Source organism: Homo sapiens, chromosome 17 (genome assembly GCF_000001405.40).
Source record: "Homo sapiens chromosome 17, GRCh38.p14 Primary Assembly".
In the NCBI taxonomy this organism is placed as follows: domain Eukaryota; kingdom Metazoa; phylum Chordata; class Mammalia; order Primates; family Hominidae; genus Homo; species Homo sapiens.
In genome coordinates this window covers 8,729,935-8,744,856 of record NC_000017.11, presented here as the reverse complement: position 1 = coordinate 8,744,856, position 14,922 = coordinate 8,729,935, and the positions used below count along the sequence as shown (strand labels likewise).

General features: G+C 50.0%; 1 protein-coding gene across 2 annotated transcripts, besides 1 other annotated feature; it reads left to right on the top strand.

Moving 5' to 3' along the window:
* The first annotated feature begins 20 nt into the window (after nucleotides 1-20).
* CCDC42 (coiled-coil domain containing 42) lies at nucleotides 21-14,922 on the top strand. 2 transcript variants are annotated; one of them, NM_144681.3, is made up of 7 exons: nucleotides 21-330; nucleotides 673-778; nucleotides 1,127-1,231; nucleotides 3,186-3,383; nucleotides 9,246-9,467; nucleotides 9,603-9,761; nucleotides 14,650-14,922. In NM_144681.3, the coding sequence occupies exons 1-7, from the start codon at nucleotides 248-250 to the stop codon at nucleotides 14,725-14,727; spliced, it is 951 nt and encodes a 316-aa protein (NP_653282.2). In that variant the 5' UTR covers nucleotides 21-247; the 3' UTR covers nucleotides 14,728-14,922. The 2 variants fall into 2 exon arrangements, with proteins under 2 accessions (NP_653282.2, NP_001151733.1); NM_001158261.2 differs by lacking the exon at nucleotides 9,246-9,467.
* Nucleotides 5,525-6,025: an enhancer, noted in NCBI's record as "H3K4me1 hESC enhancer chr17:8642150-8642650 (GRCh37/hg19 assembly coordinates)". NCBI's record gives its function as "activates a minimal SCP1, AML or CMV promoter by ChIP-STARR-seq in primed H9 embryonic stem cells {active_cell/tissue: H9 hESC(primed)}" and the evidence as "EXISTENCE:reporter gene assay evidence [ECO:0000049][PMID:30033119]".

Below are 14,922 nucleotides of genomic sequence, written 5' to 3'. Positions count from 1 at the left end.
GCCACAGAACCAGGCAGCCTGTTGCTAGGTAACCACATCTCCCATAACTGCCCCAGCACATCGTCCTGAGCCGCCCAACCTGTCTCCAGCCACCTTCTGTGGAGTCTCAAACTCCATCATCTGTGGGACCCTGTAGGCCGAAGGGAGAAACAAGAGTGCAGCCACCACCCCTGAGCCACCTGTGGCTCTGCTACCCACAATTTCACTGTGAAGAGTCAGCTGCCTGGGCCGTGAGGTCACTGCCACCATGAGTCTGGGCATCATGGAAGAGGAAGACCTGGCCGAGTACTTCCGGCTGCAGTATGGGGAGCGGCTGCTGCAGATGCTCCAGTGAGTGTCTGAGGCCTGGCTTGCCCACCCCTCTGTGCCTGGGACCACTCACACCCACCCCATACCTCATCTTCCAACCGTCTGTCCCCTCCTCTCCTGTAACCCAGTGCCCCAAATAACCTTGGCACCAGTCCACCTCATCACGCTGGTCTCCACCCCGTCACCCTCCCCCTGCTCACTCCTGCATGGCCCTCTATGCTTCTCAACACAACAGCCCTTTCCCTCGGAAAGGGAGAGAGGCCCCTCTGCTTCCCCATGGGTATCTGTCTCCACGGGTTACTCCCAGCCCCAGCCTACCCCATGTCAGAACACACAGCCCTCTCGCGTTCACATCTTGGACAGGAAACTCCCCAATGTTGAGGGGGCGTCGGAGTCCCCATCCATCTGGCTACTGGAGAAGAAAAAGGAGACAGAAATCATGCATCAAACTATGGTGCAGAAGAAGAAGGTGGGGACTCAGGGATGGAGTGCAGAGGGGCAGGAAAGGAAGGGGGTGGGCTGGGGCTCTGGGAGAGCCTGTGGACAGCCCTCCATTGTCTGAGTGGGGTGGCTAGAGCCAGGAGTCCTCTATGGTGATCTGGTCTCTTTGGGGAGAACAGAAAGGATCTGGGTCTTGGGGGTACCACTGTCCAGGGATGCTCTGCTCTGGGCCAGGCATGGGGTAGAAAGTGGGAGGCTCCTATGGACCCTCTTGGGCCTGGGGATGGAGCCTCTGGGGCAGGGATGCTGGGGTCTTCCTTGGTACTCATGTCAGGAGCCCTCCTGACCTCTCTGCTCTCCCACCCCCACCCCAAAGATGTTTCAGCGCAGAATGGAAACCCTGAACCTGCGCTGGGAGGAACTGGGCGTTAAGGAAGCCCAACTGAAGGCTCACATCCAGAAGTCTGAGCAGTTCATCCAGGTTTGAAGGGGTGTGGGCGGCCGCAGTGGCCAGGGGATCCATAGTCCGCAGGTGGGCAAACTGCACTCCTCCTCCTTGCTTCTGCTGACTCCTCGCCCTGAGTTAAAAAGCATCCTTAGTGCTCCAACATTGCCTGGCATGTCCCTAGGCGTCCTTTATGTCCCCCACCTGTCTCTGTTTGTAATTTTCCATTTACCTATCAGTCTCTGCTCCCTCTAGATGGCTGTTTCCTATTTCTTTTCCAGTACCTAGGACATACAGTTTATTCAGTAAATGAATGCATGGATGAATGAATGAAGGTGCTACAGTTAGGACTAAACACTTGGGAAATACAGTGATGAATGAGACAGAGTTTTAGTCCCTCCACCCACCCCACCCCTCCATCCTTGTCCTTGCACTGAAGGTCCAGGCAGGGGATGGTTGAAGGACCAGGCACCAGAGTCCATTCCAAGACATCCTCTCTCACTTCAGTCTTTAGTGGAGCACTTTAATCGTCTTAAAAATCCAGATTTATCCAGACCCACTCCAGGTAGCACTTACGCAGCCCTGAAGGGCCTGGTCCAGCTCCGGGAGTGGGTAATGATTGCCGTCGGCCACAAAGAAGCCCCGCTCTTAAGCACCTTCCTTCCTGCTCTGTGCCTAAGCCGTGTGGGACAGGAAGTCCTTGGACTGGGCACATTCTCCAGAGGTCCAGTTCTTCTTAGCAGCCAGAGAAACACTTATGGAGTGGTTGGGGCAGAAGAGATTTGGGCGTGAGGCATTCTCCAAATGGCTCTCAGAGGGTCAGTAGCTTCAATTCCCAGAGAGTTTGCTACAAATACAGACCCCAGGGGCTTCCCTTGTTGCTTTCAGCACGTCTGAGGTTGGGCCCAGGCTTGTATATTTTTAAAAAAGTTCCCCAGGCAGTTCTGATGACCAGGTGGATTTGAAAGTCACTGGTTTAGACTCCCTCAGTCCTGTCCTGGGCTTACAGGGCAGCATACAGATCCTGCATGCACCTTCCTCAGTGGCCTCCAAGTGCCACCACCACATACGCCTGTCTATGTGGAATCACAGGAGCCCCTGAAGGGAGAAAGGAGCCACACAGGGCGAGGGGTGGGCTTGCCCCTAATCTTAGGGGAGGGCTCTGCAGAAGGAAGAGGCAGGATTGGACTGATTGCGGTAACTGAGCCTCGTTCTGTCCTCTGGGCATTGAACTGCCTGTTCCATCTCCTCCCTCAGCGGGATGCCAGTCTGAGCTCCTAGGAGCATGCTCTCCCAGTGGCCTTACCCCCCAGGCCCTATGGCACCAGGCACATCTCCTCTCTCATCTTCCTGGAGCTCCAGCCCTGTTGCCCCAGCTTCTGAAAGGGAGAGGGGCTCCTGCCTCCCATCTCCACAGCTGGGAAAATGGAAGCACCGAGTACTGAATTGGGAGAAAATTCTCGCCTCCCAGCTCTGGTCCGGGAGTGGTCCTTCTGCTCCATGGAAAATGGCCACCACTAAGAACAGAAACCACAGAAGCTTTGTCAGGAGGGTTCTTGCTCCCACTTCTGGACTTTTCTCAGTCTTCTCGGCGGGTTGAGTTCTTCCAGACCGTGAGCCCAGTGCAATGTAGGTCTTCCCCAGTCCACTCTCTGAAGTCCAGAGCCCAAGTCCCACAGGAAAGAACCATTTCCTGTCTGCCCCTCCAGCCCCAGGGCCACCTCTCGACTTTGGATTAAACCTCTGTCCTCACAGCCCCCTGAGCCCCCACCTCAGTCCACAGAAATCTCTTCAGCCAGCTTCAAATACCCCTGGAGAGCCTTTTCCTTCACCCCTCTTCTGCCCCATGGGTGGCCCAGCAATCTCTGCCTGTTGCCAGGATGGTTTGTGCAGACAGAGGGGTCTGAGGGCACCACCAGCCCCAGGAAGGCCTGGGCCCCGGGAGGGCTGGGCGAGGCTTCCTGACCAGCGCCACCTCCCCGGGCCCCAGGAGAACGACCAGAAACGGATCCGCGCCATGAAGAAAGCCAACAAGGAGCGAGAACTCAAGTGCCAGCACATGCAGGAGCTGACCAAGCGCAAGCAGGAGATGGTGGCGCTGCGGCTGGAGCACCAGCGGCTGAGCGCCAAGCTGAAGGACTACTACATCTTCAACAAGTACCTAGAGAAGGTGGTGGAGAACTCCGAGGTGAGTCCAAGGAGCAGGGGGGCCGGCCCTGGCACCTTCCTCAGCCCCACCTCTCTTCCCCGGGGCCTGGGGCCATGGGATGGAATTCAGGCTCAGCTGGCTGGGGACTGTGGACCCTCTGGGCCCCAGGAGCTCTGCAGGATGGGCACCCTGCTCCGAGGAGATGCACCCAGCCCTGGGGGGCACTGGGGAGCAGCTAAAAGAAGCCTCTGGTGAGGCTGGATGAGTTTCTCAAGGGGTGGGGCCTAGTGGTGTGTCTTTGTGTGTCTGTGTGAGCCACAACTGTGTATGTATCTTGCATGAGTTGCGTGTCTATGTCTGCATGTGTGTCCATGGCTGCGTCTGTCTAAAGGGGTGTGTGTGTGGGTGTGTGTCAGCACGTGGCCTCCCTCTATCCCTGCATCCCCTCCTCTCAGTGTCTTCTGTTTACTGGAGAGTAAATTGGGGAGAGGAAGGGAGAGGAGTTGGAAAAACACCCAACCTCCTGCAGAACTAGGGTGCTTTGTATGTGCTGGGCCCCGGGGTTGGTGCTTCACACGGGTAACTTCATTCAGTTCGCTGGTGAGCCCCAGGGTGAACCCAAGCTGATCAGCCTTTTACAGAGAAGGAAATGGAGGCTCCGAGAGGTTAAGTCACCTGTTCAGAGTCTCGCAGCTCGTCAGTGGGGAGAGCCTTTGCTTTTAGCCACTCCTCAGTGGGCCCCACAGTGCCATTGATGAGGGCTCTCCCTGCAGTCCCTGTAGCCGGAGCCCAGGGAACTTCTTGGTTCCACCGCGCCTCTTGGGGGCAGCGTCTGACACTGCCGATGCCCCTCCCGGAAACCCCCCTCTGCCCTCAACTCAGTGGCACCTCCCTCTCTCTCCTACCTCTGACCTCTCCTTCTCAGGCTCCTCCGGCGGGGGCGCCTCTTCCCAGCTCCTTCTTGTGTGGTGGGTCCAGGTTCTCTGTCTCAGATCCTCCACTTTTTTTTTTTTTTTTTTTTTTGAGACGGAGTTTCACTTTTGTTGCCCAGCCTGGAGTGCAGTGGCTTGATCTCGGCTCACTGCAACCTCCACCTTCCGGTTTTCAAGTGATTCTCCCGCCTCAGCCTCCCGAGTAGCTGGGATTATAGGCACCCGCCATCACGCCCAGCTAATTTTTGTATTTTTAGTAGAGATGGGTTTCACCATGTTGGTCAGGCTGGTCTCGAACTCCTGACCTCGTGATCCGCCTGCCTTGGGCTCCCAAAGTGCTGGAATTACAGGCGTGAGCGATCCTCCACTTTTCTTCTTAGCAATGTCCAGGGCCTCCCATGGATGCCACCCATGTCACATTATCTCCTCCCCCATGTGACCAACAGCCAGAAGATCCCCTCACTAGGGCAGATGGAGGCACCTCCTCCAGGGGTGTGGATCCATGTCCTCTGAGGGAAGGGGCGACAGGATGCACAACTGTTTAAAGGTCCCACAATTTCCATATCAAACCACTAACCTAATTTACTCATGCATGAGTCCCACCTCTGCATTATTTCCTCCACTCAAAGGTGCTACGTACTATAAGGTCAGTGGTTCATTTCATAGTTGGGGTTTGTTGGGGGGGCAGGAAGTAAGGAGGGACTACCAGATTAAAACTGCAGATGAATTACAAGATGTGGCCAGGTACGGTGGCTCACGCCTGTAATCCCAGCACTTTGGGAGGCCGAGGTAGGTGGATCACCTGAGGTCAGGAGTTCAACACCAGTGTGGCCAACATGGTGAAACCCCGTCTCTACTAAAAATACAAAAACTAGCTGGCCGTGATGGCAAGCACCTGTAATCCCAGCTACTCGGAAGGCTGAGGCAGGAGAATTGCTTGAACCCAGGAGGCGGAGGTTGCAGTGAGCCGAGGTTGCACCATTGCACTCCAGCCTGGGCGACAAGAGCGAAACTCCGTCTCAAAAACAAACAAACCAAAAAAAAATTGTAAGATGTGTCTTGAATTCAGAGTTGGGAAAATATATATCTTAGAATGGAGGAAATTGGCCTGTCTCTCCCTCCTAAGCTTGAGACCCCCATATTTAATTCATCCCATGCACACTCATCTCATCTGCTTCCTGCCACCCCCAGGACAGCCCTGCCGCTGGCGCGACGACCTGTGCTGGTGAAAGGCAGGACCACCCACTCACAGCCCCGCCAGAACTCAGGCCTCCTTGGCTCCTCCCTCCTGCTCAGTGCCACAGCTATCAATCAGCAGATCTGGTCTGTTCTGCCTTGGAAGTATTTCTGGAATCCAGCCCCTGCCCCTTCCTCATCCAGGCCACCAGTGGTACCTCGTCTGGAGTTCAACTCTGGCGTCGTTCCTGGCCAGCCTGTTCAGCATTCCCCCAGCCCCCCTCTCTTTCTCTTTTTTCTTCTTTATTTTGTTCAAAATACTTTAAGAATACTGGAAAGTATAGAGACACACATAACAGCAACCAAGTACTCATCACACAGCTTTGCTAAATCTTCGTATTTTCCCCATCTGCCCCCAGTTCTTTTGTCTTAAATCAAACACTACCGATAATTGAAATCCAGTAAATGAACTCCTTTGTGTCCTTCCAAATCTTATGTTTCTTCACCTGTCCTCAGACATCACGAGTATCCTGCTTTTAAAAATTCTCAAGTCATGCTTTTTATTATTTTGTAACATTTTGTAACATTTAACGTTTTGTAACTTTTTATTTGAGTATTCTGCTTTCAAAAATTCTCAAATAGCCAGGTGCGGTGGCTCACGCTTGTAATCCCAGCACTTTGGGGAGGCCGAGGTGGGCAGATCACGAGGTCAGGAGTTCGAGACCACCCTGGCCAACACGGTGAAACCCTGTCTCTACTAAAAATACAAAAATTAGCTGGGCGTGATGGCGGGTGCCTGTAATCTCAGCTACTCCGGAGGCTGAGGCAGGAGAATTGCTTGAACCCGGGAGGCAGAGGTTGCAGTGAGCCAAGATCATGCCATTGCACTCCAGCCTGGGTGACAGAGCTAGACTCCGTCTCAAAAAAAAAAAAAAAAAAATCTCAAATCATGCTTATTATTTTGTCACATTTAATGTTTTGTAACTTTTTATACGGAATTTTTTAAGCATACACAAAAGTAAAGACAATAGTCTATTGAACACCTGTTGCTCATTACCTGATTCTAATAATGATTAATTCATAGTCACATCCCCCACACTTTCCCACCTCTGCCATTTTGAAGCAAACAATATATTTTCATCCATTTGCGTCTCTCTGCAGTATGTATCTCTAAGAGATGAGAGCTCTTTTTAAAATAACTACACCATTGTCACACCTACTATACAATTGATAGTAATTCCTTAACATCAAATATCAGTATCATTTATTGCACAAAATGGGTCAAGCGTGGTGGCTCATGCCTGTAATCTCAGTGCTTTGGGAGGCTGAGGTGGGAGGATCACTTGAGCCCAGGAGTTCAAGACCAGCCTGGGCAACAAAGTGAGACCCCCCCCAAATCTGCAAAAAATTAAAAAATAAAAATCAGTCAGGAATGGTGGCACACACATGTGGTCCCATCTACTTGGGAGGCTGAGGCAGGAGGACTGCGTGAGCCCAGGAGGTCAGGGCTGCAGTGAGCTGTGTTTATGCCACTGTAGTCCAGCCTGAACAATAGAGTGAGACCCTGTCTTTTAAGACAAATTATTGCACGGATGCTTTTTGTACAGTTGGTTTGTTCCAATGAGAGTCCATATAAGGTCCTCACACTGCCCTTAGTTGGTATGCTTCTTAAGCCAGACACAAAAGAGGTTATATCGTATGATTCCATTGATGTGTTTAAAAACAGGTAAAATTAATCTTTATTGATAGAAGTCAGAATATTGGTTTCCTCACTGGTCGGGGGAAGACACTCACTAGCAACCCTTCCTCATTTATTTGCTAGAATACTACCATAAAGAAAAGGACTTCATAAAGAGATCCTTTCCTTCATCCACCATTTGATTACTATGTGGGTCTCGCAGAGAAAGTTTGTTAAATGCTTTATTTAGTTTTCAGAATAATGAATTTGTTCTCTAGCACTGACCTGTAATGTTTCTAGTATCATTGTGAACTGATGGATTTTTAACATATTTGATATGTTTTAATCCTTTGCACTTATTCTTACTAATGTTCAAATCATCTCATCTTTGGGCAGTGGGTGGCTCTTCGATTTGGCACCTAAATCCTTTTGACATCAGCATTAAGTTTAGAGGTGTGTTCCTAGTAGCTCTGATGTGGTCCATTTATTTGAACTGTGGTACACTGTTGCACTGTGTGCCAGATGAACTTTCAGAAATGCACACGTGAATTGTCTGTTTCTTAAAATCCTTCAATGGATAAAGTCCACACTCCTTCCCAAGGTTTACTGAGCTCGCTTGCTTGCTTGCTTTTCTTTTTTTCTTTTTCTTTCTTTCCTTTTTCTTTTCTTTTTTCTTTCCCTTCCTTCCTCCCTCCCTCTTCTTTTCTTTTTTTCTTTTCCTTCCTTTCTCCCTCCCTCCCTCTCTCTCTTTCTTCTTCTTCTTCTTCCTTCCTCCTTCCCTCTTTCTTTCTTCTTCTGCTTTCTTCTTCCTTTCTTCTTCTTCTCAGTCTCTCCCTCCCCATCTTGAACTCAGGCTACCTTCAGCATCCTGAACATACAACCCCCTATTCCATTCATCTTTGCCCAGGCTGTCTCCTTCACCTGTAGCACTGCCTCACCTCCCTACACCTGCTTTTGCTAGCTATCTTCTATTTATATACCTCTCATCTCATTTCAGCCACACTTTCTCCCATGAAACCTTTTCTGGCTGTTCCTACCTCTTTCCGTGCTGGGTTGGGTGGCCCTTCCCCAAAGAGGCATATTTGGGGAAAGGCCAGCAGGGCAGTTCCCAGGACACGCATCCATCACTGGAGATGTCACGAGATGGAGAAGGTGCTCGGGAAGTTTCCCCTGGGCGGCTGAAAGGCATGCTTTGATAAGCCCCTAGGAAGGCAACTTGGTATCACAGAACTGGTGTTCATGCTGCCTTCTAAAGAGCGTGGGTTTCATGGCTTCTGTTCCACTGAGTGGGACCTGAGGGTTAGGGCCAGAGTGGCATGGTTCTGGACCAGGCTGGGGGAGGTGAGCTGAGTCTGGCAGGCCACCTGCCCCACCAGCACCCTCTCTATCCCTGCTTCTCCCTCAGTAAATGAACAAATACCAGAGATCACCAACGTGAAGGCTTTCCCAGAGTCCCCTCCAGCCCTATCCCCCAGTCATAGATAGGGCTTATCTTGCTGTTGTAACTGACTGTTTACTTGTCTGTCTGTCCTCCCTCCATGCCACCCCCCAAGCTGTAAGCTTCCTAAGAGCAGAATCTGGTTTTCCTAACTCCTGCTATTTCCCTAGCATTTAGCATAGCTCCTGGCTTGTAAGTGGTTCCTGGTACAATCTTGTTGAATAGGAAATTCTTGCCTTGGAAGACATTGCAAAATGCCTTCCATCAGCGATTATCAACCCTGGCTGTGCCTAGAGCCACCAGGGGACCTTTTGCAAAATTCAGATGCCAGAGACCACAGAAGACTTGTTTATTCATCTGAATCTCTGGGGGTGGAGACTGGCAGGTGTCCTTTTTAAAGCCCCTACAGGTGATTCTCACATGCAGTTAAAGTCGAAAATCCCTAGCCCAGTTGTGCATCCCCCTGCCCAACAAATGGACCGTGGCCCGTACAAACCCAGGAGAAGCAGGCAGCGGAACCCCAGTGTCCCTCACAGCCTCTGGCCGTGACCCTGGCCAAGGGCCTGCCTGCCCAGGTGTCCAGGTGTCCAGGCATCCAGGCTGGAGGTTGGCAGGACTGGGTGGCTCCCTCAGGCCCCAGGGGCTGGCTGTGCATTGACCTGAGCCCCTGACCACAGTTCGAGGAGATCCATGAGGTGATTGCACGCTACAAGACGCTGGTGAGCATGCGCCACGACCTCATGCAGTCTGCGCAGGAAGGCCAGGAGAAGATTGAGCGCGCCAAGGCCCGGCTGGCGCGCTACATGGAGGAAAAGGATGATGAGATCCTGCAGCAAAACAATGAGCTGGCAAGGCTGCAGATGCGCTTTGACCGTGCCCGCAGCAATGTCATCTTCTGGGTGAGGGGCCCGGGGCGGGCCGGGGGCTCCCAGGCACTGGGTGAGTGCGGGCCCTGAGCATACACACACACACATACACACAAACACACACACACCACATGCTGTGCTCATGCCCCGTCCTTATCCACTCTCCAGGAATCTCGCTGGGCGCACATCCAGAACACCGCAGCCAAGAAGACCCTCCTGCTTGGCACCATTAAGATGGCCACGCTGAACCTCTTCCAGATCGTGAGCAAGCACCTGAAGGAGGTGACTGAGGTGGCACTGGAGGACACCCACAAGCAGCTGGACATGGTAGGAGGAGGGGACAGGCACTGGGCCCGTGGGGTCGGCTGGGCCGAGGAGGTTGCCAGTTGGTTGGGTGGAAGAATGAACCTGACAGAGAAGCAGAGCAGGGACTCTCAAAATTTAACAACATCAGGATCACCTGGGAGGGTGAGGAGTATTACTGGGCCCCACCCGCAGAGTCTCTGACTCAGTGGATCTGAGATGAGAACTCATGAATTTACATTTTCAGCAAGTTCCCAAGTGACGCTGCTGGTTCGGGTTCCATACTTTGAGAACCATTGCATTAGCACCGAAACCCTTTTAGCCCCAGTCTACAGAGCAGTAGCAGGGACCCACTACTGAATCCATTAGTTGTGCAAAACAGCCTCATTAAATTCTAGTGAGATACTGTGGCTTGCTGAAGGCTTGAGCTTGAGGCCCACACTTCGTTAAAAAGAGAAATTGGGGCCAGGCACGGTGGCTCATGCCTGTAATCCCAGCACTTTGGGAGGCCTAGGTGGGTGGATCACCTGAGGTTGGGAGTTCCAGGCCAGCCTCAAAAAAACAAACAAACAAAAAACAAAACAGCAATTGACTTAGAGGCACTTTCCCTACTTTTCCAAAAAAAAAAAAAAAGTGAAATTCATGAAATATACACAGCTAGGAAAAAGGAGTTCCCTAAAACAAATAATTAGCCTACATTTTAAAGCCTGTTTGAACAGAATTATTTTATAGCCCAAAGGAGGGCGTTTGTAAGCAAGTGTGTTCTGGAAGTAGCAATTCTCAACATTTCACCTTTACACTCCTAGAGTTTATTGAGGATTCCCAGAGAGCTTTTCTTTATATGGTTGTATCTATAATTGCCACAATAGAAATTAAAACAGAAAATTTTAAAACATTTGTTTAATTCATTCATTTTTAAATAATGATAAAAAGTATGTTAACAGAAATAGCATTTTTTATGGAAAAAAGTTTCAAAACTGTTTTGTGAGAAGAGTGGCATTGTTTGACGCACTTGCAGATCCCTTTAATGTCTAGTTTAACAGAGGACAGGCCGGTGCTCATGTCCACTCCTGCGTTCATTCTGTTGTGACAGCATATGTCATGGAAACTCCTCTCTGGGAAATGCCACTGTGTGCTCATGAGAGAATAAGAGCGAAAAAAAGGCAAATAACATTTTAATATTATCGTAAAAAGAGTTTTGGCCTCAAAAACCCCTATGACCCACAATAGGGTCTCAGAGACTCCAGAAATCCTCGGGCCCCCTCCCCTCAGCCTCCCGGAGGTCCTCAGGCCCTTGCCCTTAGCTGTTGTAAAGAAAGATGCAGTGGGAGGGCCCAGCACAGTGGCTCACACCTGTAATCCCAGCACTTTTGGAGGCTGAGGCGGGTGGATCATGAGGTCAGGAGTTTGAGACCAGCCTGGCCAACATGGTGAAACCCCATCTCTACTAAAAATGCAAAAATTAGCCGGGCATGGTGGCAGGCACCTGTAATCCCAGCTACTCGGGAGGCTGAGGCGGGAGAATCGTTTGAACCTGGGAGGCGGAGGTTGTAGTGAGCCAAGATCGTGCCATTGCACTCCAGCCTGGGCAACAAGAGCAAGACTTCATCTCAAGATTCACTGGGAGATGCTGCCCTCCAGCAGCTCACTCCCACAGGCACATCTCCTGCTGAGACCATGGCTTCTAGTCCATCCACTCCAAATTTTGAGTTTCTGAATCCCTCTCAACTTGGATTCACCTCTACAGGAGAACTTCAGATTGCCCAAAAGTTATTAGAAAATATCTCACTTCATTCCCGTAGGAGATGAACCTACTCACGGAAATACACGACCGAGTCGCCTACAGATTTAAACTTAAGGACCTGGGAAAGTACAAGTTGAAATCAGAGGTCAAGGATGGAGAGAAATACAGACTGCCCTTGGTTCTTAAGGGTCTTAGACAGGGGCAGTAATTGTTTCTGAGCTTGCTGGTAACCTGAATGAAAAGCCACCTGTAGCTCTTATACTAGAATAAGAAAAAATAAGGTTTCCTCCGAGACAATGTGCCTTTTCCCAGCACTTAGTTCTCACTGAAATTTCTCGATGAGGCTTCATTGACACTGTATGAATAATGTTCTCAACAGCATCCCTGCAACCAATGCAGGCACTGGCTTTGTAAGGCAGCTGCTTATAGAGAACAAGGAACGTGGTACACAGGACAGCTTAGGAAAAGCGATTCTGCAGAAGGCCAAGTCAATTTGAATTCCTTCGAGTGTGTCATGGAAGGTTTGGCATTATCCCTGAAGAAAAGCCAAACTATCTGAACAAGCACTTTCCAGACTGAATCTCCTGAGCTATTGTTTCCTAGGGGGAATAAAAGGACTCCATAGACTAATACATTTAGAAACTCTAAATTAAACGAAGATGAGATTAAAAAAACAAACAGGACTTGGAGTCTTTGCTATAGTTCTATGCCCTGAGATGCTCCCAGCAGACAGCGTTTCTAAAACTGACTTGACCACAGGACTCCTTTGGGGCATGTGACCACTTATTATGAGAACATAGCTCAGGAAACGCTGACCTGTCTTCTCTGTCATCTTGGGAAAGCTGCTTTAATTCATTGACTCTCTGTTTTCTCATTTGCAAAATGGGAATGATATTGGTAATGGTAACAGTATCAGCAGCTGACAGTTGTTGAGAGCTTTGGACAAAGTCTGTGTAGTTCCATCTCCAGAGACAGCCTTGAAAAGGAGAAGTTTTAGAACTGAAATCCTTTTTTTATTTTTTTAATTTTAGGTTCAGGAGTACACGAGCAGGTTTTTTTTTTTTTTTTTTTTTTTTTGAGACGGAGTCTCACTCTGTCGCCCAGGCTGGAGTGCAGTGGTGTGATCTCGGCTCACTGCAAGCTCCGCCTCCCAGGTTCACGCCATTCTCCTGCCTCAGCCTCCCGAGTAGCTGGGACTACAGGCGCCCGCCACTACGCCTGGCTAATTTTTGTATTTTTAGTAGAGACGGGGTTTCACCGTGTTAGCCAGGGTGGTCTCGATCTCCTGACCTCGTGATCCGCCCGCCTCGGCCTCCCAAAGTGCTGGGATTACAGGCTTGAGCCACCGCGCCCGGCCTTAATTTTTTGTATTTTTAGTAGAGATGGGGTTTCACTGTGTTAGTCAGGATGGTCTCGATCTCCTGACCTCGTGATCCACCCGCCTTGGCCTCCCAAAGTGCTGGGATTACAGGCGTGAGCTACCGCGTCCAGCCAAGCAGGTTTGTTATATAGGTAAACTCATGTCACAAGGGTTCGTTGTACAGGTTATTTCATCACTCAGGTATTAAGCCGAGTATCCAATAGTCATTTTTTCTGATCCTCTCCCTCCTCCCACTCTCCACCCTCAAGCAGATCCCAGTATGTGTTGTTCCCCTCTTTGTGTCCACGTGTTCTCATCATTTAGCTCCCACTAATAAGTGAGAACACTCAGTATTTGGTTTTCTGTTCCTGCGTTAGTTTGCTAAGGATAGTGACCTCCACCTCCATCCATGTGCCTGCAAAGGACGTGATCTCATTCTTTTTTATGGCTACATAGTATTCCGTGGTGTATAAGTACCACATTTTCTTTATCCAGTCTACCATTGATGGGCATTTAGGTTGATTCTCTTTGCTATTGTGGATAGTGCTTCAGTAAACATCCCCATGCATGTGTGTTTATGATAGAACGATTTATATTCCTTTGGGTATATAACAAGTAATAGGACTGCTGGGTTGAATGGTAGTTCTATTTTAATTCTTTGAGGAATCACCATACTGCCTTCCACAATGGTTGAACTAATTTGCACTTCCACCAACGGTGTATGAACGTTCCCTTTTCTCCACAACCTCAGCAGCATCTGTAACTTTTTGACTTTTTAATAGTAGCCATTCTGGTGTGAGATGGTATCTCACTGTGGTTTTGGTTTGCATTAGAACTGATATCTTAGAGGCTGTCTGGGCCAATCTTTTCTCCCTCTCTCCTTATTAAAGATGAAGAACTGAGTTCCAGAAAGATGGAGTGATTGCCCCAGACCTGCGACGGGGGCCCAGCTAGGTCATCTGACTTCTGGAGCATGACTTCCGTGTCATGCTGACTGCGTGCTCTTTACAAAACAGAAGGCGGTGAACAGAATTTACATTCCTTTTCATGACTCAAGGTTATCATGATGAGCATCAGCTCTGGGTTTCGAATGCACGACCACCTTGAGGGCGGTGAAGTTGTGGAAGGCGGTCTGCCCATGCTGACGGAACCCTGCCTGCTAAATCCTTTTCATCCACCAGCCTGCTTGTGACCCTTTCTTTCTTATCCCTCCTGCTTGACTCTCAGCCTGGACTTCATACATCACCAGGGTCTGCCTTCAGGAGTTCCCAACTCCATCCCTGTTTTGTTGCTTCTCATCGGCTACACCCAACACTCAATTTCACCTCAAAACATTGTCAAATGAGAGAAAGTGGCCTCCTCAAGAAGTCAGTCATGGTTGGGTGCAGTGTCTCATGCCTGTAATCCCAGCCTTTTGGGAGGCTGAGGCGGGTGGATCACTTGAGGTCAGTAGTTCAAGACCAGCCTGGCCAACATGGTGAAACCCCATCTCTACTAAAAACACAAAAATTAGCTGGGCATGGTCACAAGTACCTGTAATCCCAGCCACTCAGGAGGCTGAGACACGAGAATTGCTTAAACCCAGGAAGCGGAGGTTGCAGTGAGCCTAGATCGTGCCACTGCACTCCACCCTGGGTGACAGAGCAAGACTCTTGTATCAAAAAAATAAATAAATAAAAATTTAAAAAGAAGTCAGTCACAGGAAAGCAATGATGAATTCTTTACAAGTGAATGTCTGGGATGCTCCATCTTGGGACAGGGGAGGCCTCTGGGGGGCGGAGTTAACGCTGGGCTCCTTGCCTTTCTAGATCCAGCAATTTATCCAAGACCGGTCGGACATCTGGGCAGAGGTGAAAAAGAAGGAACAACAGCGAGTCCGGATTTAAGGAGGCAGCCTTGTTCCAGAATGTCCTGAGACAGAGATCGTGAAAGAAGAAGTCGTGAGCCTGCGGTCCAGTCAGTCCAGCTCGGGACCGATGCCTGCTGTGCCTTCCTGCTGAGGGACACCTGCTTATTTTCCCCCGTGGGCCTCACTCTATCCCTGAAAACAGTGAATGTTATATGAAGTTTGTTCTCAAGTT